Below are 27,928 nucleotides of genomic sequence, written 5' to 3' on the forward strand. Positions count from 1 at the left end.
TTTACCATGTTGGCCAGAATGGTCTCGATTTCCTGACCTCGAGTGATCCGCCCGACTCGGCCTCCCAAAGTGCTGGGATTACAGGCGTGAACTGGCCATCTTCTTCGATTGCTATCTCCATGCGTTCCGGTCAAGGCACGGGATGGTGGTCTCCAGTTCAGTTGAAATTTCCAAAATCACGGCCTGGAAAAAATCAAGGCGCTGATTTCCAGAGATTCCCCAGAGCTGCCGCGAGGGGGCGCCCGGCCCTGCCAAACCCGGAGGGCGGCGCGCGCGAACCGTGTCCGAACCGCACGGCGGCGTCCTGGGGGGTCCACTGTGAGGACGGGGGGTCCACCGTGAGGACGGAGCTCCCTCTCCTCAGCACCCACCCCGGAGGGGCCGGGGCTTGGGACACCTGGGGACACCTGGGGCCGCGTCCGGTGTGAAGACAGGGAGACGCTGCTGCAGCTCCGGGACACCTGGGGCCGCCGAGGCAAAGGTGAGGAAAAGGCTTCCTGTCTCCGCTGCGAGTGCAGCGGAGCGAGCGCGGCCGCGTTTCCCGTCGGGCTGTTTGTACCTGGGCTTCACTTTGTGCAAGCGTCCCTTCATGGCGGCTTGGGCGGGTCGGGCTGTTTGTACCTGGGCTTCACTTTGTGCAAGCGTCCCTTCATGGCGGCTTGGGCGGGTCACCCCCAGCGCAAGGCCAAGATGCCGGTTACGAATGCGAGTTTGTTTCTGGGGAGAGACCCTGGTACCGGGAGAGGAGGAGGAACGCGGAGACGCCGTCGGGCGGTGGGGATGTTGGGGACTGGCAGGCGCCACAGCCTGAGGTCGAGGAAACGGGCGCCCCCGGATCAGTGCTCATTTTGTGTTTTGTTTTGTTTTGGAGACGGACTTTCGCTCTTGTTTCCCAGGTTGGAGTGCAATGGCGCGATCTCGGCTCACTGCAACCTCCGCCTCCCGGGTTCAAGCGATTCTCCTGCCTCAGCCTCTCGAGTAGCTGGGGTTACAGGCATGCGCCAGCACGCCCGGGTAATTTTTTATTTTTAGTAGAGACGGGGTTTCTCCATGTTGGTCAGGCTGGTCTTGAACTCCCAGCCTCATCAGGTGATCCACCCACCTCGGCCTCCCAAAGTGCTGGGATTACAGGCGTGAGCCACCTGGCCTGGTCAGTGCTCCGTGTTTTCAGGCTCATTTGTTAACATAGTAGAAACAACACAGGAAAATGGAAAAGTAGGCACATTATCATGCTCACGCCACTGCACTCAAGCCCTGGGCAGCAGAGCGAGACCTTGTCTCAAAAAACAAAAACAAATGAAAACAAAACCAAAAACACCATTGTGTGCGTCTAATGGAAGTGAACTCGTCAACAACAGTTTTTCTTTTGTTGAGAAAGTCTGTTTAATTTGCAGTGTATTTGTAATGGTACAGAAAATGTCTGTTTTATAAACATTCTCATCCTAAGTTAGTTGAAATGTATTAACTATATCAAGCTTTGACATGATACCATAAAATTAATTGAAGAAAGTCACTAATCTTTTTTTTTCCCTTGGCCTTGAGCATTTTAAATAAAATCAGATTTCGTTAAGGTTACTTAATACTGAGCTGTAAACCCGTATGGCCCTGCGGTGTCTTTTCTTATCTTTTCTTTTTGCTTTTTTTTTTTTTTGAGATGGAGTGTCACTCTGTCTCCCAGGCTGGAGTGCAGTGGCGTGAGCTCAGCTCGCTGTAACCTCCACCTCCCAGGTTGAAGCAATGCTCTGTCTCAGCCTCCCCAAGAGCTGGGATTACAGGTTCCTGCCATAATGCCCTGCTAATTTTTTTGTGTTTTTAGTAGAGATGGGGTTTCACCATCTTGGCCAGGCTGGTCTTGAACTTCTGACCTCGTGGCCACCCACCTTGGCCTCTCAAAGTGTTGGGATTACATGCGTGAGCCACTGAGCCAAGCCTCTTTTCTTTTTTTGACATGGAGTCTCACTTTGTCGCCCAGGATGGACTGCAGTGGCACAATCTCAGCTCACTGCAACCTCCGCCTCCCGGGTTCAAGCACTTCTCCTGCATCAGCCTCCTGAGTAGCTGGGATTCCAGGCCTGCATCACCACGCCGGGCTAATTTTGTATTTTTAATAGAGGTGGGGTTTCACCATGTTGGCCAGGCTGGTCTCGAACTCCTGATCTCAAGTGATCCACCCACCTCGGCCTCCCAAAGTGCTGGGATTGCAGGCAGGCCTGAGCCACCAGGCCTGGCTGCTTTTTTTTTTTTTTTTAATTAAAAAAAATTTTTTTGTTTGTTTTTTGAGACAGAGTTTAGCTCCTGTTGCCCAGGCTAAAGTGCAATGTCCCTATCTTGGCTCACTGCAACCTCTGCCTCCTGGGTTCAAGCAATTCTCCTACCTCAGCCTCCTGAGCAGCTGGGAATACAGGTGTGCACCAGAATGCCTGGCTAATTTTGTATTTTTAATAGAGATGGGGTTTCACCATTTTGGTCAGGCTGATCTCTAACTCCTGACCTCAAGTGATCCACCTGCCTCTGCCTCCCAAATTATTGGGATTATAGGTGTGAGCCACTGTACCCAGCCTTCACATTTTTATTGATTGATTTTTTTTTTTTTTAAGAGAGAAGGTCTTGCTCTATCACCCAGGCTGGAGTGCAGTGGTGTGATCATGGCTTACTGCAGCCTTGACCTCCTGGGCTCCAACAATCCTCCTGCCTCAGCCTCCCAAGTAGCTTAGACTATAGGCACCAGCCACCATGCACTGCTAATTTAAGCAGGATCTTTACGTCCCTCAGGTTTGTCTTTAACTCCTGGGCTCAAGTGATCCTTACACGTCAGCCTCCGAAAGTGCTGGGATTACAGGCGTGAGCCACTGCACCCAGCCTAAGGTCTCCCCACTTTTTTTTTGAGACAGATTTTCACTCTTTTTTCTCAGGCTGGAGTGCAATGGTGAGATCTCGGCTCACTGCAACCTCTGACTCCTGGGTTCAGACGATTCTCCTGCCTCAGCCTCCCAAGTAGCTGGGATTACAGGCATGCGGCTAATTTTGTATTTTTAGTAGAGATGGGGTTTCACCATATTGGTCAGGCTTGTCTCGAACTCCTGACCTCAGGTGATCCCTCGCCTCGGCCTCCCCAAAGTGCTGGGGATTACAGGTGTGAGCTACTGCGCCCGGCCCTGCGGTATTTTTCTTTTTTCTTTTTCTTTTTTTTTTGAGATGCAGTCTCACTCAGTTGCCCAGGCTAGGGTGTAGTGGCGCAATCTCTGCTCGCTGCAACCTCCCTTTCCTGGACTCAAGCGATTCTCCTGCCTCAGCCTCCCAAGTAGCTGGGGCTACAAGTGTGCGCCATGATGCCTGGGTAATTTTTTGTGTGTTTTTAGTAGAGGTGGGGTTTCACCATGTTGGCAAGGCTGGTCTCAAACTCCTTACCTCAAGTGATCTGCCCGCCTTGTCCTCCCAAAGTGTTGGGATTACAGGCATGAGCCACCACGCCCTGCCCCTGGGGTCCTTTTTAAGTGGGGATCTCTAAGGGTCACTCCAAGCTTTTCTATGCTAATCAGTGTATTTAAATTTTCCTTATTTTAGAGTCCATTTTGTTGTGTATTTTTACTAGGAAATCATCCATTTTCTCTCAGTTTCCAGTTTGATTCAATAAGTTTCTCCTTTCTTTTATTTTTTATTTTTTTGAGACCGGGTTTTGCTCTGTCTCCCATGCTGGAGTGCAGTGGCGCAGTGGAGATCTCGGCTGACTGCAGCCTCCGCCTCCTGTGTTCAAGCAATTCGTCCTCAGCCTCTTGAGTAGCTGGGATTACAGGTCTGCGCCACCACGCCCGGCTGATTATTGTATTTTTAGTAGAGACTGGGTTTTGCCATGTTGGCCATGCCGTTCTCAAACTCCTGACCTCAGCTGATCCGCCCGCCCCGGCCTCCCAAAGTACTGTGATTACAGGCATGAGCCACTGTGCCTAGCCAATAAGTTTCTTATTTGACTTCTGATTTATCTCTTTCTAGTTTTTAACAGAATTCTTAATTCTATGTATTTCTGCTGTTTGTTTCCATCAATAATATTTTAAAAAATATCTGGGGACTGTTGTGGGGTGGGGAGAGTGGGGAGGGATAGCCTTAGGAGATATACCTAATGCTCAATGACGAGTTAACGGGTGCAGCACACCAGCATGGCACATGTATACATATGTAACTAACCTGCACATCGTGCACATGCACCCTAAAACTTAAAGTATAATAATAAAAAAAAAAACAAAACAAAACAACAACAACAAAATATACTTATTAGTTTATCTTGTTTTCAATTGAGGGAATTGTTATATTAAACAATTTCTTATGACCCAATGACAAGCTTTAATTATTTTAAAATAATTCCTGCCTAACGCAACACCTTTTGCAGGAATGAGCTGTCAGTGGTATTGTTACTGACCAGGGTTTCTTGGCTCTCCAGTAATAGAAATTGACATGAGGATGAGCAAGTTTCCCAGACAAAGCTTTTATTTAGGTGTTTTGTTTAGCTTGGTTAAATTTATTTCACAAAGCTTTCGTTTTTGTGTTTTATATTCAAACACAAAGGAGGCAGCAGAAGAGAGAGAATTCTGTCTGGCTCCCTGAAGAGTCAGGAGGAGAGTGTTTTTAGGGTCTGGCCCGATTGCCCAGGCTGGAGTCCTCTGGCACCGTCTCGGCTCACTGCATCCTCCTGGGCTCGAGCCATCCTCCCGCTTCAGCCTCCCGAGTAGCTGGGACTACAGGTGTATACAACCGTGCTCAGCTAATTTTTGTATTCTTTTTGTAGAGATGAGGTTTTGCCATGTTGCCCAGGCTGGCCTCAGATCCCCCCAAAGTGCTGGGATTACAAGCATGAGCCACCATGCCCGGCCCAGTGTGTTCTTATTAAATTTCAGTAATTAGTTACGCCATTTGCCTTTCGTTCAACACTGAGATTTCGTTTTTCTTTCCTAATTATCTCATACATGGACTTTGGTTCCATTAAACTATTATTTCCTTGATCTACAAATTGCGGGTGATTCTTGCAGATTATCTAAGAAATAATTACATTTTGTTTTTAGAAAAACCACATTATTAACTTTACAACTGTTAGATACCACACCTGCAGTGACTTTAGGGATTTTGCTGGACAATGTCTTAGACAATTTGCTAAGGGTGGACATTGGGTGAATGGCTTGAGGGAATATGCATTAAATACTCGAGACACCCAGGAGGCTGCTGTGTCCCGTAAGAGAGAGCATACGAGACTGCAGGCCACTGGGGTTGAATGCCTTGGAAAGGGCAGCATGCAGGAGCACACAGTGTGTGGAGGTCATGGTCAGTCCTGTGGTCCTTGTTCTAAGGTCAGTGGGAACCCATTGTAAAAGTTAAATCAGAGAGTGACATGATGAACCTTCGGTTTGAAAATGAGAATTTTGCCATTATAAAGTTGAGATCACCAGTTGTGGGCAGGGGGATTGTGCTCTTTCTGGTGGGTTGCACTGAGGAGAGCAAGCATTGGGCTGAGGTGTTTCTGCTTGGAACGCAGGGTCTGCATCTACTCAGGAGAAAACACGGGGTAGACCCAGCTGGGAGTTATCTGCCAACGTTGTGAAACTGAGGGACAGCTCAGGAACATTCCAGAAAAAGGAAAACCCAATCCAAATGGAAAGAGACCTTTTCTCCCAGTTGGGGCAGGCAGTGAAGTGAAATGGGTCTCTGGATTGGATTGTCAGGTAGAGACCTTGTATTTCCTGATTTGGGAGTTACGTGGTAGTTAGCTGGGAGGCTGTCTTTGTTTTGGTAAAATACACTGGAGTGTTTTGTGTGGAGTTGCTGTAACTGCTGAGGAATCTAAGAGAAGGGATAAGTTACACTTTACACTGCTATTGCAAGATTCCTAGAAGTATGAAATTACTGTAAAGTAAATTATAAACAACCACAGTAATACCATGTCAGTAAAGCAGAAACGACATCAAACTTCACTATAGAGGCCAAACCCAGTCCAAATTCAGGTCAGTGGAAGCTGTGTACCAAGCACCCCGGTGAGAGTCTGGATGCTATATCAGTATTGCAGCTGTCATATCAGTATTGAGGGTGTCACTTGAGTCTTAGGGGTGTCATAGCAGTACTGTGGGTGTCATATCACTATTTCGGATGTCATATCTGTATTGTGTGCATCATATCAGTATTGCAGGTGTCCCATCAGTCTTACGAGTGTCATATGAGCCTTACAGGTGTCATATCAGTATTATGGGTGTCATATGAGTCTTAGGAGTGCCATGAATCTTGTGGGCTTCACATCAGTCTTATGGGTGTCACAGCATCTTGTGGGTGTCATATCAGTATTACGATATGCCGTGATATGTTATACCAGTATGATACCTCTTCTGAAAACACCTTCACAGACATACCCACACATAGTGCTTTAACAGCTCTCCGTGTATTCCTTAATCTGGTAAAGTTGACACCTAAAATTAACCATCGCAGTATTTATGCCTGATTCATGGCTAAAATTTCAGAATTTTTAAAAATTTTAGAATGAAAGCTGGGCACCGTAGCCAGACACTGTCCCTACATAAATATTAAAAAGTTAACTGGTTGTACTTGCACACATATGTAGTTCCAGTTACTCTAGAGGCTGAGGTGGGAGGATCTTTTGAGCCCAAGAGATTCATGCTGAAGAGCTAGGATTGTGGCACTGCATTCCAGGCTGCGTGACAGGGTGAGACTCTCTCAAAAAACAATCAACAGTAATAATATTATTTGGAATAAATTTAACCAAGGTACAAGACTTGTACATGAGGCTGGGCATGGTGGCTCACGCCTGTAATCCCAGCACTTTTGGAGTTCAAGGCAGGTGGATCCACGAGGTCAGGAGATCGATACCATCCTGGCTAACACGGTGAAACCCCATCTGTACTAAAAATACAAAACATTAGCCAGGCATCGTGGCATGCGCATGTAATCCTAGCTACTTGGGAGGCTGAGGCAGGAGAATTGCTTGAACCCGGGAGGCAGGGGTTGCAGTGAGCCAAGATCTCGCCACTGCACTCCACCCTGGGTGACAGAGTGAGACCCCATCTCTGGAAAAAACAAAAAACAACAACAAAATAACTTGTACATGGAAAATTTCAAAACATTGCTGAAGTAAATTCAAGAAAGCTTACATAAATTTAAAGACACCTCATGTTCACGAACTGGAAGACTTAATAATTCTTAAGGTGGCAGTACTACACAAAGCCATCTACAGATTCTGTGTGATTCCTGTTACAATCCCAACGTCCTTTTGGCAGAAATCAACAGGCTGATCCTGTCATTTATACGAAATATCAAGGGATGCAGAATAGCCAAAATAGTGTCAAAAAAAAAAAAAAAAACAACTCAGAGGCTCACATTTCCAAATTTCAAATCCTACTACAAAGCAACAGTAATAAAATCAACATGATTTTGGTATAATCAATTGAATAGATCAATGGAACTGAATTTTGAGTTCAGAAATAAACCCATATTTCTATGAGCAATTGCTTTATTTTTATTTTTTTGAGACAGGATCTCACTCTGTCTCCCAGGCTGGAGTGCTGTGGCACAATCATGGCTCACTGCAACCTCTGTCTCCTGGGCTCAAGTGATCTTCCCGCCTCAGCCTCCCAAGTAGCTGCGACTACAGGTATGCACCACCACATCTGGCTAATTTTTTTATTTTTTTATACAGGTAGGGTCTTGCTGTCCTGCCCAAGTTGGCCTCAAACTCCTGTTCTCAAGTGATACTCCTCTCTTGGCCTCCCAAAGCATTGGGATTACAGGTGTCAGCTACCACGTCCAGCCTGTTGATTTTTAAAAATGTAATTTCTTTTTCTTTCTTTTTCAAGGCATGGTTTTGCCCTGTTGGCCAGGTTGGAGTGCAGTGGTGCGAACGTGGCTTATTGCAGCCTAAACCTCCTGGGCTCAAGCAATCCTCCCTCCTCTGTCACCCGAGTAACTAGGACTACAGATATGCACCGTCACACCTAGCTAATTTTTAAGTTATTTGTAGAGAGAGTGTTTTCCTGTGTTGGCCGGACTGGCCTGAAACTCCTGGGTTCAAAAGATCTTCCCACCTCAGCATCTCAACGTGCTGGTATTACAGGTGTGGGCCACCACCCCCAGCCTGGGATGGTTTTCATAATTACATTCTCATGTTGTTTGTTGCTAGTGTCTGGAAATACAACAGATTACTGTGTATTGACATTTTGTGTTGTAGTTTACTAGTTTTAATAATATTTTGGGGGTTTGTCGTGATATTTCTGTACATAAGATAGCTCCTGTGATCTGTGAGTAGCTGTTTTTACTGCTTCCTAACACATATAAGTTCTCTTTACTTCTTTTTCTCTCCTATTTGTTGTGGGTGGAACTTCCCGTACAGTGTTGAATACAGTGATGAAAATGAGCATTGGTGCCTTGGTCCTGATCTTAGGAGTAAAGCACTGGGCCCTGACAATGGAGATGGTGCTGAAGTCCGATTGTGGTGTTTAGAAAATTCCTATCCCTGGTTTGTTGGGTGTTTTTTATGGTGAAATGGTGTTGACTTTGTTTAAAGTACATGTGGGTTTCTTCTTTATTCTGTTTATTTCATGTTCCTTTGCAGTGATGGCTTTAGTATGCCAAACCAGCTTGATTTTCTGAGAAAAGGATGTAGTGATCATGTTGTGCAATCCTCAAAATACGTGCTAGTATGAAATGACAATTATTTTCTTGGGCATTATTATTATTATTATTTTTAATTTTTTTGAGACAGAGTCTCACTCTTGTCGCCCATGCTGGAGTGCAGTGGCGCGATCTTGGCTCACTGCAACATCTGGCTCCCAGGTTCAAGCAATTCTCCTGCCTTAGCCACCTGAGTAGCTAGGATTACAGGCTCCCGCCACCACGCCTGGCTAATTTTTGTATTTTTAGTAGAGAGAGGGTTTCACCATGTTAGCAAGACTGGTCTCAAACTCCTGACCTCAGGTGATCTGTCTGCCTTGGCCTCCCAAAGTGCTGGGATTTCAGGTGTGAGCCACTGCACCTGGCCTCTTGAGCATTATTAATTGAATAATTATACTAGACATTGATCTGTACCTTTCTGTTCTTGTGATGTGAAGTCCTAGTGTGGTTTAGTGTTAAATTGGGGATGGGATTGGGTATGGGTTGGTTTACTATGTAGCGTATTAAGTGTTAGAAGTTTAGGGGAAAAAAATTAGCAGAAAGAAAACATACCTGAGGAATTGTGGGGAAGAGTATGATGAGGTCTGGGTCAAGGTCAGGGTTTAGGGTTAGCAAGAGAGTGCCTGTAGCCTTTGCCAATAGTAAATATCAGTCCTTTTCTTGAGACAGGTTCTTGCTCTGTTGCCCAGGGTGGAGTGCAGTGGCACAGTCTTGGCTCATAGCAACCTCCGACTCCCGGGTTCAAATGATTTTTAGGCCTCAGCCTTCCAAGTAGCTGGGAACACAGGTGCGTGCCAACGTGCCCAACTATTTTTTTTTTTTTTTTTAGTGGAGATGGGGGTTTCCTCATGTTGACCAGGCTGGTCTCAAGCTTCTGGCCTCAAGGGATCCACTCACTTCTGCCTCCCAAAGTGCTGCGATTATAGGCAGGAGCCACCACGCCCAGCCTGCACACAGGCAGGCAAAGATATTTTAATATTCTTTTAATTGGCACTTCCTTCAGTATTAGTCAGTGTAAGCAACTTTTCATTTATTTCTTAGTTGAGAGTTCTTTGGGTCACAAATCAGATGACATTTCAGTATGTGTAGGGGTATGCATATGTGAGCGTGTTGATGTGTATGTGTGAGAGGAAGTGCAAACATAAGTATGACAGAATGAATATGCACACCTCTGTTCTTGTGTGCCTAGTGTGTTAGGGTTTGCTTAGAGTTTGATTTAGGGTTGGGGTAATGGTTAGGTTTAAGTTACAGAGAAGGGTTAGATGGTTAGTGTTAGGGTTAAGGGTTAGGGTGAGGGTGAGGGTGAGGGTTAGGGTTAGGGGTTAGTGTTGGGGTTGGGGTTAGGGTTTTAGAGTTAGGGTTAGGGTTAGGGTTAGGGTTAGGGCTAGGGTTGGGGTCAGTGGTTAGGGGTCATGGTTAAGGGTTAAGGGTTGGGGTTGGGGGTTAGGGTTAGGGGTTAGGGTAAGGGTTAAGGCTAAGGCTAGGACTAGGGTTAGGGTTTGGGTTAGGGTTTGGGGTTAGGGCTAGGGCTAGGGCTTTGAATAAACTTATATGGTAGCCAAGTTGTGGTTACAGTGGGCCTTGGGTGAGACCAAGTTCTATGCCTACTTCAAGTGTGTACCAGCATAGTCTCAGTGGTCGTGGCCTCAGGGGTGCTTATGTTACCCCAACTCCAGCTCCACATGCCTCAGCAGAGAAAGAGAGACTGCTGGTTTCAGAGAAAGAAAGGGAAGAGAACAAGATCTCTACTTGAAAAATCAAGAGAAGTTTTCTTGATGTTAATCCAAGGCCACCAAAGCAGTACCTCTACGTGTTTGCTACTACGTATTGGGCTTGGGACCTAAGTCTCTTTGAACACCTGGAAAGTGTTCCCAAAAATAATGGGCACCAACAAGCCCAGACTGTGAAGACTACAATAAAGACTGACCTCTTCAATGCCCACATATAGATGAACATCTATAAGTATCAAGGCCATCCAGGAAAACATGACCTCACCAAGCAAGCTAAATAAGGCACCAGGGGCAAATCCTGGAAAAATAGAGATATGTGACCTTTCATACAGGAAATCCAAAATAGCTGGTTGAGGTAATTCAAAGAAATTCAATGTAACACAGAGAAGGAATTCAAAATTCTATCAGATAAATTTAACGATAAGATTTAAATAAAAAGAATAAAGCAGAAATTCTGAAGTTAAAATGCAATTATCATACTGAAGAATGCATCAGAGTTACTTAAAAAAATTGATCAAGGAGAAGATAGATTTAGTGAACTTGAAGTCAGACTATTTAAAAGACAAAGTCAGAGGAGACAAAAAAGAATAAAAAATAAAGCATGCCTACAGAATCTAAAAAATAGCCTCAAAATAGGAATCTAAGAGTTATTGGCCTTAAAGAGGTGGTAGAAAAAGAGATAAGAGTTAAACATTTATTGGCCCGGTGCAGTGGCTCACGCCTGTAATCCCAGCACTTTGGGAGGCCGAGGTGGGCAGATCACAAGGTCAGGAGATCAAGACCATCCTGGCTAACACGGTGAAACCCCGTCTCTACTAAAAATACAAAAAGAAATTAGCTGGGCGTGGTGGTGGGTGCCTGTAGTCCCAGCTCCTTGGGAGGCTGAGGCAGGAGAATGGCATGAACCCAGGAGGCGGAGCTTGCAGTGAGCTGAGATTGCGCCATTGCACTCCAGCCTGGGCTACAGAGTGAGACTCCGTCAAAAAAAAAAAAAAATTAAACATTTATTTAAAGAAATAATATTAAATAATATTAAATAATTCCCCAACATTCGATATCAACATTCAAGTACAAGAAAGTTACAGAACATCAAGCAGATTTAACCCAAAGAAGACCACCTCAAGGCACTTAACTGAACTCCCAAAGGTTAAGGATAAAGAAATGATTCTAAAAGCAGCGAGAGAAGAGACACAAATAACATTCAGTGGAACTCCAATACATCTGACAGCAGACTTTTCAGGGGAAAATTTACAGGCTGAGAGTGGCATGACATATTAAAAAAGCTGAAGAAAAAAAAGACTTTTACCTTAGGATAATGTATTTGGCAAAAAGTCCTTTAAACTTGACAGAGAAATGAGAACTTTTTCCGACAAACAAAAACTGAGGTATTTCATTAACACCAGACCTGTCCTACAAGAAATGCTAAAGGGAGTTCTTAGCCTGAAAGAAAAAAAGTGAGTGAGCAATAAGAAGTCATCTGAAGGTACAGAACTCAACTAGTAATAGCACATGGAAAAACACAGAATATTATAACATGGTAATTATGGTGTGCAAAAATCTCAAATAGAGTAAACAATAAACCAGTAAAAAATAACTACAACATATTTCCAAGACATAGACAGTAAAATAGGGAAGGAAGAGAAACAACAAAAAGTTTAAAAGAATGGCAATGGAGTTAAAGTGTAGAGTTTTTATTAGTTGCTTTGCTTGTTTCTTTGTTTATGCAATCAATGTTAAATTGTCCACAGTCTAAAATGATGTGTTATATTATATTCAAGCCTCATGAAAATTTTAAATCAAAAAGCATACCACAGATGTACAAAAAGTAAAAAGCAATAAATTAGATAATATTAAAGGATAAATCACCTTCACTAAAAGGAAGACAGGAAGAAAGAAAAGAACGATGAGAGGACAAAAGTTAATCAGAAAACAAGTAACAAAATGGCAGGAGTAAGTGCTTATCAATAATAACATTGAATGTACATGAACAAAATACTCTAATCAAAAGACAAATAGTGGATGAATGGATAGAGAAGCAAGACAATAATCTGTGACCTGCAAAAAAAAAATACTTTACCTATAAAGATACATTTAGACTGAAAATAAAACGATGGAAAAAGTTATTCCATGCCAATAGAAACCAAAAAAGAGCAGAAATAGCTTTACTTATACCAGACAAAAATAGATTTCAACAAAAGACTGTAGGAAGATATTAAGAAGGTCATTATATAATAATAAAGAGATCAATTCTTCAAGAGGATATAATTGGAAATATATATGCACCCAACACTAAAGCACCTAGATAAACGGAGCAAATACTATAAGAGCTAAAGAAAGAGACATCAATACAATAATGGCTGAACACTTCGACACCCTACTTTAGTCATTGGATAGACCTTCCAGACAGAAAATCAACAAAGAAACATCAGACTTAATCTGCACTGTGTAACAAATGAACCTAATAGATATTTACAGAAAATTTCATCCAACAGCTGCAGAATACACATTCTTCTCTGCACATGGGTTATTTTCAAGGATAGACCATATGTTAAGTAACAAGTCTAAAAACATTAAAAAAATTTGAAGTAATTTCAAGCATTTTCTCTGACCACAATGGAACAAACTAGAAATCGATTAAAAAATGAATTTCAGAAACTATACAAACACTTGGACATTAAACAATATGCTCTTGAATGATCAGTAGGTCAATAAAAATGTTAAAAAGAAAATGGAAAAACTTCTTGAAACAAATAATAGAAACATAGCATAGCAAAACCTGTGGAATATGGTAAAAGAGGTACTATTATAAAAGGAAAATTTATTTTTTTTCTTTTATTATTATACTTTAAGTTTTAGGGTACATGTGCACATTGTGCAGGTTAGTTACCTATGTATACATGTGCCATGCTGGTGCGCTGCACCCACTAACTCATCATCTAGCATTAGGTATATCTCCCAGTGCTATCCCTCCCCCCTCCCCCCACCCCACAACAGTCCCCAGAGTGTGATGTTCCCCTTCCTGTGTCCATGTGATCTCATTGTTCAATTCCCACCTATGAGTGAGAATATGCGGTGTTTGGTTTTTTGTCCTTGCGATAGTTTACTGAGAATGATGATTTCCAATTTCATCCATGTCCCTACAAAGGACATGAACTCATCATTTTTTATGGCTGCATAGTATTCCATGGTGTATATGTGCCACATTTTCTTAATCCAGTCTATCATTGTTGGACATTTGGGTTGGTTCCAAGTCTTTGCTATTGTGAATAGAGCCGCAATAAACATACGTGTGCATGTGTCTTTATAGCAGCATGATTTATAGTCCTTTGGGTATATACCCAGTAATGGGATGGATGGGTCAAATGGTATTTCTAGTTCTAGATCCCTGAGGAATCGCCCCACTGACTTCCACAATGGTCGAACTAGTTTACAGTCCCACCAACAGTGTAAAAGTGTTCCTATTTCTCCACATCCTCTCCAGCACCTGTTGTTTCCTGACTTTTTAATGATTGCCATTCTAACTGGTGTGAGATGGTATCTCATTGTGGTTTTGATTTGCATTTCTCTGATGGCCAGTGATGATGAGCATTTTTTCATGTGTCTTTTGGCTGCATAAATGTCTTCTTTTGAGAAGTGTCTGTTCATGTCCTTTGCCCACTTTTTGATAGGGTTGTTTGTTTTTTTCTTGTAAATTTGTTTGAGTTCATTGTAGATTCTGGATATTAGCCCTTTGTCAGATGAGTAGGTTGCGAAAATTTTCTCCCATTTTGTAGGTTGCCTGTTCACTCTGATGGTAGTTTCTTTTGCTGTGCAAAATTTATAACTGTAAGTGCCTATATAAAAATCAGAAAAGCTGCAAATAAATAACCTAACAATACATCTTAATTCACTAGAATAAAAAGGCCAAACCAAACTCAAAATTAGAAGAAAAGAAATAATAAAAATTAGAGCAGAAATAAAATGAAGAAAACAATGCAAAAGATCAATGAAACAAAAAGTTGATTTTTTGAACAGTAAAACAATTGACAAATATTTAGACAGGCTAGCTAAAAAACAAAGATACAAATTAATAAAATCAAAGGTGAAAAAGGAGACTTTACAAGTAACGTTTCAGAAAATCAAAAGATCATTAGTGGCTACTATAAGTAATTGTATGCCAACAAATTAGAAAACCTAGAGGAAATTAATTCTTAGACACACACAACTTACCAAGAGTGAACTAGGAAAAAATCTAAAACCTGAACAGACCAATAACAAGTAACAAAATTAAAGCCATAATAAAAAAGTCTATAGGACCAGACTGAAAAATAGAGAAGGAAAGAACATTTCCAAACTCATTCTTTGAGGCTGGTATTACACTGATATGAAAACAAGACAAAGACACATTTAAAAAGCAAACTGCAGGCCCATATTTGAGAATATTGATGCAAAAATTTGCAAAAAACCTAGTAAATGCAATTAAACAATACATAAATAGGTAATTCATAATGACCAAGTGGAATTTATCCCAGAGATACAAGGATGGTTCAACATGCAAATCAGTCAATGTGATATATCATATAAACAGAATGAAGGGGCCAGGGGCAGTGGCTCACGCCTGTAATCCCAGCACTTTTGGAAGCCTAGGTAGGCAGATCACCTGAGTTCAGGAGTTCAAAACCAGCCTGGCCAACATGGCAAAACCCCATCTCTACTAAAAATACAAAAATTAGCCGGGTGCAGTGGTGGGCACCTGTAATCCCAGCTACTTGGAAGGCTGAGGCAGGAGAATCACTTGAACCCGGGAGGCAGAGGTTGCAGTGAGCTGAGATCATGCCATTGCACTCCAGCCTGGGTGACAGAGGAAGACTTCATCTCAAAAAAAAGAAGGACAAAATCCATGTAATCATTTCCATTATGCTAAAAAAGTATTTGATAAAATTTAATATTCTTTAATAATAAACCCTTTGAAAACTGGGTATGGAATGAACATATGTCAACATAATAAAAGTCATATATGACAGACCCACAGCTAGTATCATACTAAGTAGGGAAAAACTAAAAGCCTTTCCTCTAAACTCTGGAAGATGACAAGAATATCCACTTTTACCACTGTTATTCAACATAATTCTGAAAGTCCTATCTGGAGCAATCAGACAAGAGAAAGCAATAAAAGGCATCCCAATTGGAAAAGAAGTCAAATTATTGTTTTTGCCAGTGATGTAATCTTATATTTGGAAAAACATAAAGACTCCTCTGATAGGGTTTGAACGTGTGTCCCCTCCCAAATCTCATATTTAAATGTAATTCTCCATGTTGGAGGTGGGCCAGGTGATTTAACCATTGGGGTGGATTACTCATAAATGGCTTAGCACCATCCCACTTGGTACTATCTTCATGATAGTGAGTGAGTTCCCATAAGACCTGGTTATTTAAAAGTGTGTAACAACTCGCCCCTCTGTTTTTTGCTCCTGCTTTTTGCCCTGTGATGTGCAAGATTCTGCTTCAACTTTTGCCATGACTCTAAACTTCCAGGGGCCTTCCCAGAAGTGCATGCCAGTGCTGTGTCTTCTCTACAGCCTGTAGAATCATGAGCCACTTAAACCTCCTTTTTAAAAAATAAATTGCCCAGTCTCAGGTATTTATAGTGATGGGAAAAAAGCTTAATACAGAAAATTGGCACAAAGGAGTGGAAAATTGTTATAAGAATACCTGAAAATGTGGAATCAGCTTTGTAGTTGGGTAAACAGGCAGAGGTTGGAAGAGTTTGTAGGACTCAGAAGAAGACAGAAAAATGAGGGAAAGTTGAGATTTTCTTAACTTTGAATGGCTGTGACCAAAATGCTGATAGTGACCTGGACAGTGAAGGCTGAGCTGAGGAGGTCTCAGATGAAAATTAGAAAATTAGGACCGAAGCAAAGGTCATTCATGTTGTCTTAGCAAAGTGGTTGGCTGAATTTTTGTCATGCCCTAGGGATATATAAAAGTTTAAATTTGAAAGCGATGATTTAGGGCTTCTGTTGGAAAAATGTCTAAGCACCAAAGCGTTCAAGATGTGGCCTGGCTGCTTCTAACAACCTATGCTCACACGTTGGAGCAAAAAAAAGTAACTTGTAATTTATTTTTACTTGCAAGGGAAGCATAGCGTAAAAGCTTAAAAACTTTGCAGCCTAGTCATGTGGCAGAAAAATAAAAAGCTTTTACAAGAGAGGAACTCGAGCAGGCTGTGGAGCAATCACTTGTTAGAGATATTTGTATAACTTAAAAAAAAAAGCAAGTGTTGATAGCCAAGACAATGAGAAAGAGGAATTGAAGGCATTTTAGAAATCTAAAAGGCAGCCCCCCATCACAAACCCTGAGGCCTAAAAGAAGAGAATAGTTTCTGGGATCAGGCCCAGGAACTGCTGCCTTGGGTAGCCTTAGAACATGGCTCCCTGCATCCTGGCCACTGCTCCAGCTCCAGGTGTAGCACAAATTGGCCCAGTTACAACTCCAGTCACTGCTTCAGAGGGTGCAAGCCATAAGCCTTGGTAGCTTTCATATGGTGTTAGGCCTGTGAGTGTACAAAAATGCAAGAGTTGAGACTTGGGAGTCTCCACCTTTACTTCAAATAATGTATAAAAAAGCCAGGGTGTGCAGGCAGAAGCATGCTGCAGGGGTGGAGCCCTTATGAAGAACCTCTACTAAAACAATGCAGAGAAGAAATGTAGGGTTACAGTCCCCATGTGGGCTGCCTACTGGGGCATGGCCTAGTAGACCTGTGAGGAGAGGATCACTGTCCTCCAGACCCTGGAATGGTAGATCTAGCTACAGCTTGCACTTTGCACCTGGAAAAGCCAGAAGCACACAAAACCAGCCAGAGGCACACAATACCAGCCCATGAGAGCAGCTGTGGGGGCTGAACCATGAAAAGCCACAAGGTCTAAACGTCCCAAGGCATTACTGTGCCCTGGAAATGGGACATAGAGTCAAAAATAATTATTTTAGAGCCTTAAAATTCAATAACTCCCCTTCTGGGTTTCAGACTTGCATGGGTCCTGTGGCCTCTTTCTTTTGGCTGATTTCTTCCTTTTAGAATAGGAGTATTTACCCAATGCCTATGCCCCATTTTTATCTTGGAAGTACTTAATTTGTTTTTTATTTTACAGGCTTATAGGAGGAATAAACTAGCTTTGTCTTAGATGAGACTTTTGACTTTTGAGTTAAGGCTGAAATGAGTTAAGACTTTGGGGATTATTGGGATGTCATGATTGTATTTTGAAATATGAGAAGGATATGAGATTTGGAATGGCCAGGGGCAAAATGATATAGTTTAGGTGTGTGTTCCCACCAAAATCTTACATTGAAATGTAATCCTCAATGTTGGAAGTGGGCCTAGTGGGGAGGTGATTGAATCATGAGGGCAGGATTTCATGAACAGTTTGGCATCATTTCCTTTGGTGCCATTCTCACAATAGTAAGTTTTCATGAGAGCTGGTTATCTACAAGTGCGTAGCATTTCCCCCCTGCCCTTGCACTTACCATGTGATGTGCAAGCACCGGATTTATTTTTCACCTTGATTGTCAGTTGTCAGAGGCTTCACCAGAAGCAGAAGCCAGTGCTATGCTTTCTGTACAGCCTGTAGAACCATGAGCCAATGAAACCTATTTCCTTTATAAATTAACTAGTCACCGATTATTTTTACAGCAATGTGAGAATGGCCTAATATATCCATCAAAAAACTATTAGAAGTAATAACTTGAGTAAATTTGCATAATACAAAATCAACATGTACAAATCAGTAGGATTTCTATATGCCAACAGTCAACAAACTGGAAAAGAATTCAAAAAAGTAATCCTATTTGCAATAGCCACAAATAAAACAAAATGTGTGGGAATTTACCAAAGAAATAAAAGTTCTCAACAATTAAAAATGTAAAACACTGATAAAAGAAAGAGAAGACAAAAAAATGGAAAGTTATATCTATGTTCACAGATTGGAAGAATCAGTATTTTTAAAAATGTCCATGCGATCCAAAGCAGTCTATACTTTTCATGCCATCTCTGTCAAAATAACAATGACATTCCTCATAGAAATAGAAAAAAAATCTGAAATATATATGGAACCACAAAACACTATAATAGTCAAAGCTATTCTGAGTATATAAACCAAAACTGGAGGAATCCCATTACCTGGTTTTAAATTATACTATCAAGTTATAGTAATTAAAACAGCATGACACTAGAATACAAAGACAAAGACAAATGGAATGAAATAGAGAACTTAGAAACAAACTCATACAGCTAAACTAAACTTATTTTGAACAAAAGTGTTGATAACATACAAGAAAAAATAAGACAGTTTCTGTAATAAATAGGGCTGGGAAAACTGGCAAGCCATAGGCAGAAGAGTGAAACTAGAACCCTATTTCTTGCCACATACAAAAATCAAATTAAAATAAATTAAAAACTTAAACCTAACACCTCAAACTATCAAAATTTTACAAGAAAACACTGGGGAAACCCTTTAGGGCATGGTTTGAGCAAAAATTTCTTAAATAATGCCCCATAAGCACAGACAACCAAAGCAAACATGAACAAATGGAATTACAGCAAGTCAGAAAGCTTTTTTAAAGTGAAGGAAACAAAGTGAAGAGAAAACCCACAGAATGGGAGAAAATATTTGTGAATTACCCATCTGAAAAGCAATTAATAGCGATGTGATATGGTTAGGCTTTGTGTCCCCACCCAAATCTCATATTGAATTGTAATCCCCAGGTGTTGAGGGAGAGACCTGGTAGAAGATGATTGGATCATGGGGTTGGTTTCCTCCAGGTTGTTCTTCTGACAATGAGTGAGTTCTCATGAGATCTGATGTTTTTATAAGGGGCTCTTCCCCCTTTGCTTCACATATATGCTCTCTCACCTGCTGTCATGGAAGAGGTGCCTGCTTCCTCGTCTGCCATGACTGTAAGTTTCCTGAGGCCTCCCCAGCCACGTGGAACTGTGACTCAGTTAAACCTGTTTCCTTTATAAATTACCCAGTCTCGCCAGGCGCAGTGGCTTATGCTTGTAATCCCAGCACTTTGGGAGGCAGCGGTGGGTGGATCATGAGGTCAGGAGTTCAAGACCAGCCTGGCCAAGATGGTGAAACCCCATCTCTACTAAAAATACAAAACTTAGCTGGGCATCGTGTCAGGTGCCTGTAATCCCAGCTACTCAAGAGGCTGAGGCAGAGAATTGCTTGAACCCAGGAGGTGGAGGTTACAGTGAACTGAGATCATACCAATGCACTCCAGCCTGGGTGACAGAGCAAGACTTCATCTCAATACATAAATAGATAAATAAATAACCCAGTCTCAGTTTTTTTATAGCAGTGCAGAAACAGACTAATACACTACAATATATTGAGTTCAAAACATTCTATAGAAAAAAATATAATAAAGAGTAGACAAAAATTTAAATGGACATTTATGAAAAGAAGACATACAAATGGCAAACAGGCAAATGAAAAGGTGCTCCATATTACTGATCATCATAGAAATGCAAATCAAACCCAAAATGAGATATCATTTCACCTCAGTTAAGGTGGCTTTTATCCAGAAGTCAGTCAAAAACAAATGTTGCTAATAGCCAAGATTTGGAAGAAACCTAAATGTCCATCAACAGATGACTGGATAGAGAAAATGTGGTACATATACACAATGGAGTACTATTCAGCTATAAGAAAGAATGAGAGTCTGTCATTTGCAGTAACAGAAATGGAACTGAAAGTTTTTATGTTAAGTGAAATAAGTCAGGCACAGAAAGACAAATGTCACATGTTCTCACTCGTTTGTGGGCGCTAAAATTCAAAACAATTGATGTCATAGAGATAGAGAGTATAAGGTTGGTTACCAGAGGCTGGGAAGGGCAGTGGGGGAACGGGGTTAGTGGGGATGCGAAATGGGTACAAAAAATTGTTAGAAAGAATGAATAAGACAGTATTTGGTAGCACAACAGGGTGATTATGGTAAAAAAATAATTTATACATTTTATAAAAACTAAAATAGTATAATTGGATTGTTTATAAAACAAGCTATAAATGCTTGAGGGGATGGATACCCTGTTTTTTATTGTGTATTACTGATTGCATGCCTGTATCAAAGTATGTCATGTACCCCCATAAATATATACACCAACTATGTACCCACAAAAATTAATTAAAAATTACAATTAAAACCAAAAGGAGAGTCTAATGAGGCAGGTGTGACCCATGGCTTGAAGTAGCTTTTCAGGTTAACTTTGGAATGTCCTTATCCAAGAAGAGGGGTCCATTTAGTCAATAGGGGCTTAGAAATTAATTTTTAGTTTATAAGTGGAAAAAAGAAGAATTTTTAATCCTGAGCCATAGCTCTCAGTCAGTCAGTCCCTGCAGGGAACCCTGTTCTTTACTCTGGAGATAAACACTGTTTTTCTTTTCCACTGAATAACACCACATTTCAAAATGAGGGGAAACATCTTGAAACTAAGAGGTATGGCCTTATTAAATTTGATTTGCTTTCCATTGTAATTAATTTAATCACATGTGTTCTAGAGTTTGTCCTCAGTCTTCTCCTACTTTAGGCTCATGATCTGTTGAATTTGCTCGGCTCGCTGCTCAACAGCAGGAAATCAGAATTATTTAAAAACCTCATTGTGGCTGGGAGCAGTGGCTCATGCCTGTAATCCCAGCAATTTGGGAGGCCAAGGTGGGCAGATCACTTGTTGTCAGGGGTTTGAGACCAGCCTGGCCAACAGAGTGAAACCCCATTTCTACTAAAGATACAAAAATTATCTGAGTGTGGTGATTCATATCTGTAATCCCAGCTATTTGGGAGGCTGAGGCAGGAGAATCACTTGAACCCGGGAGGCAGACGTTTCAGTGAGGCAAGATGGTGCACTGCACTCCAGCCTGGGCAACAGACCAAGACTCTGTCTCAAAATGATAATAATAAATAAAAATAAAAATCTCGTGTTTCAAACAAAATTTCTTTTGCATATCAACTGTGTCAACTTGCATATTAACTATAATCATTTTGTTTACTTTATATCCAATCTTGAGAAATCTTTGAGGACTAATTTCACTCTTTTCTGCCATTTTGGTAAACATACCAAATGCCGTCAAACAAAATGCACAAAATTCCTGAGAAATACATTTTCTCCTTGAGGAGTATACTTGTTGTGTTAGAGGAACTCATGGTTATCAAGCTTCTAGTTTAATAAACATGACGAGAATTCTCTATCTTAATATGAGTAGCTAGGTACTCACAAGGCATCTAGAAGGTTAATACCTATAGTCTGGAAATAGCCACATTTTTTTACTGGCCACAAATTACAATTGCAGAATATTTATGGCCATACAAGACACTTCCACCAAGCCTGAAAAATGTATAAATGTCCTAGGAGTGCAGCATTTTTTCTTAAAAGATAATATTAATGAGCTAGCTTAGGTCAACGGGTTAATGGTCATTGTTAAAACGAATAGCCCCGACTTTAATGAGTACATCTGCACCTTCCAAGTTTAATTATAACTCTTTCTCTTTATAGTTAGAGTACAGACACTAACAAAAGACAATGCATTCCTGCTCTTGTTTTCTGAGGATGTCCAACTCTGTAATGGAGTCATTTCTAATAAACTTGCTTCTTTCACTTTGCCCTCTGACTCACCTCAAATTTTTTCCTGCACAAGATCTAAGAATCCTACTTTGTGGTCTGTGTCAGGACCCTCTTTTCCAGCAACATCTTTCAGCAACACCATGAAGGGACACCAAGACAAGACCCCCACTCCAAGGAAAACAATCCACATAGAATCAATCAGCTGGCAAGTGGGCTGTTAGAGTTGCGAAACCATTCAGGTTGGCAAGAATGATTACCCACTATTACTTAAGTGAGAGGCCCTAGGGTATAATATTAGGGTGAGAGACTCAGCCCAAAGTTAGAGACCTGGGGGTGTCATACTCAGATTAGAGGCCCTGGGGAATATTGAGAAGAATGGATTTGGCTAAACAAGATGTTTGCCACTTTCTCTTTTTGGACTGTCCACCTTGTGCTCTGTGTCCCTCACCTGAGTGCTGTGCATATTGTCGCCTTTCTGCCCACCGCCTCCGTTTTGCAGTAGCCTGGAGGCTGCTCCAGGAAAGAGGCCCCAAACCGTTTAGCTTTTACTTTCCTTAGCGATCCTCTGACTTTTAGCCTTGATGTCTTAGAGCTATTGCTGCTACCACTTTTCTAGTTGGCAAAGCTAATAAACTAACATTAGAACAGCACCTACAGGTTTTTGACCCCACACCAAGGGAAGGTGGTCCTAGAAGCTAAAGGGCAGCAGTGGATAATAGGAGAATATTTATGAAAGTGTGAGGCCTTATTGCTAGACCGACCCTCCAGACATAACCCTTAAAGCCTGCCAAACCATCAACCCAGCTACTTATCTGTCAGAGTCCACAGGTGCTCCCAGCCTTTCTGGCATACAGGCTGTATTAGTCTGTTCTCACGCTGCTAATAAAGACATATCTGAGGCTGGGTAATTTATAAAAAAAGAGGTTTAATTGACTCACAGTTCCACATGGTCGGAGAGGCCTCACACTCATGGCAGAAGGCAGGTGAGGAACAAAGTCACATCTCTTACGTGGCAGCAGGCAAAAGAGCTTGTGTAGGGAAACTCCCCTTTATAAAACCATCAGCTGTAATCCCAGCACTTTGGGAGGCCAAGGCAGTGGATGACCTGAGGTGAGGAGATTGAGGCCAGCCTGGCCGACATGGTGAAACCTCGTCTATACTAAAAGTACAAAAATTAGACAGTCATGGTGGTGGGCGCCTGTAATCCCAGCTACTCGGGAGGCTGAGACAGGAGAATCGCTTGAACCCGGGAATCAGAGGTTGCAGTGAGCCAAGATCATGATAATGCACTCCAGCCTGAGCAACAGAGCAAGACTCTGTCTCAAAAATAAATAAATAAATAAACCATCAGATCTCATGAGGCTTATTCACTGTCACGAGAACAGCATGGGAAAGACCCATCCCCCGATTCAATTACCTCCCACTGGGCCCCTCCCACGATATATAGGAATTATGGGAGCTATAATTCAAGATAAGATTTGACTGGGGACACAGCCAAAGCATGTCACAGGTTATGAAACAAATTGATTCTAGCAGGCCAGACTTAAGAGAGATGAGCCCCTTGACCATCCCAAGGCAGAGTGGTTAACAGATGCAAGTTGTTTTATGCATCAGGAAAACAGGAGGGCTAGATATGCTATTATTAGCACAAGAGAATCAAGGCACAAGCCTTGCTGGCCTCGACCTCAGCTCAAAAAGCTGAGTTAATTGAACTTACTAGGTCCCTGCAGTTGGAAAGGATTTAAAAGTTAACATTTACACTGATTCCAAGTATGATTTTTTAGTGCTTCATGCTTATGCTGCAATTTGGAATGGGTGGGGACTCCTGACCCCCAAGGGCTTTTCCATACAACATCATTCAGATTTTGAGCTTGTTAGAGTGCTGCTTTGCTGCCAAAAAGTGACTATAATTAATTGCAGAGGACATCAAAAGAGAGACTGACCATGTAAAAGGAAATGCCCTTGTAGATGCCACAGCCAAGGCCCCTGCACTGAAAGGGCCAATGAAGCTTGTGGGCGTGCTGGTCAGCATACATAGAACTGGGCCGGAATACCCTGAAGAAGAACGAAAATGGGCCAGGGATTGCATTTCAGTCCAGGGCCCCTCGGGCTGAATGATGGTAATAAATTACTAACGCCAAGTACCAATCACAGGAGTATAACTCAGCACTTTCATGATTCTTTTCACCCTAGAAGGGATTCTTTGTTTCTGTTAATGTCTCATTTGTTTATAGGGGTAAATCTTTTCAAGACACTAAAACAGGTGACTCAGCCCTGTGAGCTCTGTGCCTGACATGACCCAAACGGCCAGCAATTTTCTCCTTCTCCAGTTAAACCTGTCCAACATTGAGGAACCAATCTACATGAGAACTGGCAACTCTAATTTACCCCGAAGCCTTTCTGCAGGAGATTCAAATATTTGCTAATGCTTACTGATACCTTCACTGGTTAGATTGAGGCATTCCCCACCCCATCTGAAAAATGTTTACCAGAAGAAATAACTCCTCAGTTTGGGTAATCTAAAAGCCTGCAAAGTGACAATGGCCCATCTTTCACAGCAGGCGTAACCCAACACCTATCTCAGCTTTAAGAATCCAATATTACCTTCACTCTGTGTGGAGACTGCAGTCCTCTGGAAAGGTGAAAGGGCTAATCCTACTCTACAGAAGACTCCAGCTAAATCAGACGCCTGACTATCTCCAACACCCATAGCTTACTGCGGGTTTGAACTGCTCCAAAGTAAAACGTATAATTAAGTCCTGTTGAGTTAACATGTGGAAGGCCTTTCCTAACGACAGATCTCCTAATAGATGAAAAGACTCATCAATTACAAAAATATGTCATCAATCTGGGACAGGTGCAAAGGCACTCCGTGCATATGGAAACAAGAGTCTTCCCCTCCCACATGGGAGGAAAATTCAGTTTCAGCTCAGCTAGGGATTTAGTCTTACTAAAGACGTGGGAGGAAGTTCTCCAGCTGAGCAGCTTTCCCCAACGTGGAAGGGACCACGCAAGGACACCTGAGTTCTCCAACAGACGTTCAACGCCAAGGGATTCACAGGTGGGTGCACCTGTGTGGAAGTAAAGCTGTTGCTTATTCTGGGAGCCCAATCGGAGGCTGAGGGAGGTGGGCGCGGGGCTGTTTAAGCGTTGGCGGAGGCCGGGCTGGGTCGCTGCGCGTCTGCTCCTCCTTCTCGCGCTTCTCCTGCCGCCCTAATCCTGCCTTGGCCACGAGGGAGCTTGTGCTCTCACGCAGATCGGGCAGTGCGGGAACCAGATCGGGGCCAAGGTTGGCAGCCAGGGCTCTGAGGGCCCAGCCCGGGCCTGCCGGGTGGCCGGGGAAGATGTTAGCAGTGGCGGGGCGGTGCCCCTGCATTGCGGCCCCTGGGCTCCCTGCCGGGGACGGTGGAACTGGGTGGCTGGCGAGGCGGCCGGGGTGGACCCCAGGGACAGGGCGGCCTAGGGATGGGGGTGCGGGTGGGGGTGGGAGAGTGGCTGGGGTGCCTCCGTGACTCAGCCCCGGCCTGTCTGGCCCCTCCCGTCTCTTGCAGTTCTGGGAGGTGATCTCTGATGAACATGCTATCGACTCCGCTGGCACCTACCACGGGGACAGCCACCTGCAGCTGGAGCGCATCAACGTGCACCACCACGAGGCCAGCGGTGCGACCCCCGTCCTTCCCCCACCCAATGTGCACCACCACGAGGCCAGCGGTGCGACCCCCGTCCTTCCCCCACCGCCCTCCTGGGAACGCGGCCCTCCCCTCGCTCATGCCCTCCCGCCCCACGCAGGTGGCAGGTACGTGCCCCGCGCTGTGCTCGTGGATCTGGAGCCGGGCACCATGGACTCTGTGCGCTCGGGGCCCTTCGGGCAGGTCCTCAGGCCAGACAACTTCATCTTCGGTGAGCTGCGGGCGAGGACTGGGGTGCGGCTCCTTAGCCAGGGCAGCTCAAAATCCAGGAACGCTCCAAGGTCATCCTGTGGGAACTGTGGCGCCAGGGCCCCTGAACACCCTCCTATCTGCCGAGTCGAGTCGCTCAATCTGCCTCTCTTAAACGGGCTTCGGGAGGAAGTCCCGGGTGTCTCCTCAAGGTGAGGAGCTACTGATGTCCCTGCCGGGAGCTGAGCTGGGGCCGTGGCTACTGCCTTTCCTGAGAATGGGCAGGAGCCACCTGCGGCGAGGTCTGTGAGCCCGTCTCAGGTTTGACTCCTGACTTAATTCCTAACAGGGGAAGCTGCTGTCCTGTTACTCTGGGGGAGCGGGTTTCATTTGCTCCACCTGCAGGGCGAACGGTGCTCTCACCTCACGTGTGACACTTGGCTCTTTCTGCATTATGGTGGTGACCACTGATGACCGTATACCTGGCCATCGAGTGACCGGCTGTGCTGTCTTACAGGTCAGTGTGGGGCCGGAAACAACTGGGCCAAGGGACGCTACACCGAAGGCGCGGAGCTGACGGAGTCAGTGATGGACGTTGTCAGAAAGGAGGCTGAGAGCTGTGACTGCCTGCAGGGTTTCCAGCTGACCCACTCCCTGGGTGGGGGGACTGGGTCTGGGATGGTTACCCTCCTCATCAGCAAGATCCGGGAGGAGTACCCAGACAGGATCATAAACACATTCAGCATCCTGCCCTCGCCCAAGGTGTCAGACACCGTGGTGGAGCCCTACAACGCCACCCTCTCAGTCCACCAGCTCATAGAAAACGCAGATGAGACCTTCTGCATAGATAACGAAGCGCTATATGACATATGTTCCAAGACCCTAAAACTGCCCACACCCACCTATGGTGACCTGAACCACCTGGTGTCTGCTACCATGAGTGGGGTCACCACGTGCCTGCGCTTCCCAGGCCAGCTGAATGCTGACCTGCGGAAGCTGGCCGTGAACATGGTCCCGTTTCCCCGGCTGCATTTCTTCATGCCTGGCTTTGCCCCACTGACCAGCCGGGGCAGCCAGCAGTACCGGGCCTTGACTGTGGCTGAGCTCACCCAGCAGATGTTTGATGCTAAGAACATGAGGGCTGCCCGTGACCCCCGTCACGGCCGCTACCTAACGGCGGCTGCCATTTTCCAGGGTCGCATGCCCATGAGGGAGGTGGATGAACAGATGTTCAACATTCAAGATAAGAACAGCAGCTACTTTGCTGACTGGTTCCCCGACAACGTAAAAACAGCCATCTGTGACATCCCACCCCGGGGGCTAAAAATGTCAGCCAGCTTCATTGGGAATAATGCGGCCATCCAGGAACTCTTCACGTGTGTCTCAGAGCAGTTTACAGCAATGTTCAGGCGCAAGGCCTTCCTCCACTGGTACACGGGCGAGGGCATGGATGAGATGGAATTCACCGAGGCCGAGAGCAACATGAATGACCTGGTGTCTGAATATCAGCAATATCAGGATGCCACGGCCAAGGAGGAGGAGGATGAGGAGTATGCTGAGGAGGAGGTGGCCTAGAACTCTCCTTTTCTAGGTAAAGCGGGGGAGGCAGTGTGTATTCTTCACTGTGTTGTGACAGCTATGTGTCACTACGCACTTGTTCATTTGTGTCTTCACATCTCCTGCTGCTGCATTTTAAAGCACTTTTATAGTGTGCAGTTTTGACTAATAAAGTATTCTCACAGCATCTGGTTTCACCTCCATCTTCTTTCCATGGGCCCTCCGGCTACTGCTGCCAGATGCACACAGTTGTCCTGCAAGGCAGAAGCTGTCTGGGTTCATCACATGCCCAGGAACAAGCATTCCAGTGGCTCCAGGAGGGCTCAGCATGGGCTGTGGACATGGCAGGCAGGCTTCACGTGAACTTGGGGATGCCCTGGGCCTTGGGCAGCGACGTGGTGGAAAACCTGTTCCTGAAGGCAAGCCTTGGCTTATCCCATGTACCAAACTTCTAGGGGACCAGCTGGCCATGTTTCTGGAACGTTAAAAGGGGTCAGCGACCCTGGTGG

At 43.8% G+C, this 27,928-nt stretch overlaps 1 pseudogene across 1 annotated transcript; it reads left to right on the plus strand.

Moving 5' to 3' along the window:
- Positions 1-285: 285 nt before the first annotated feature.
- TUBBP5 (tubulin beta pseudogene 5) lies at positions 286-27,606 on the plus strand (annotated as a pseudogene). The gene is made up of 5 exons (NR_027156.1): positions 286-481; positions 24,219-25,045; positions 25,536-25,644; positions 25,774-26,074; positions 26,380-27,606. The product of NR_027156.1 is annotated as a tubulin beta pseudogene 5 (transcript).
- Positions 27,607-27,928: the final 322 nt, after the last annotated feature.

Source organism: Homo sapiens, chromosome 9, assembly GCF_000001405.40.
Source record: "Homo sapiens chromosome 9, GRCh38.p14 Primary Assembly".
Lineage (NCBI taxonomy): Eukaryota > Metazoa > Chordata > Mammalia > Primates > Hominidae > Homo > Homo sapiens.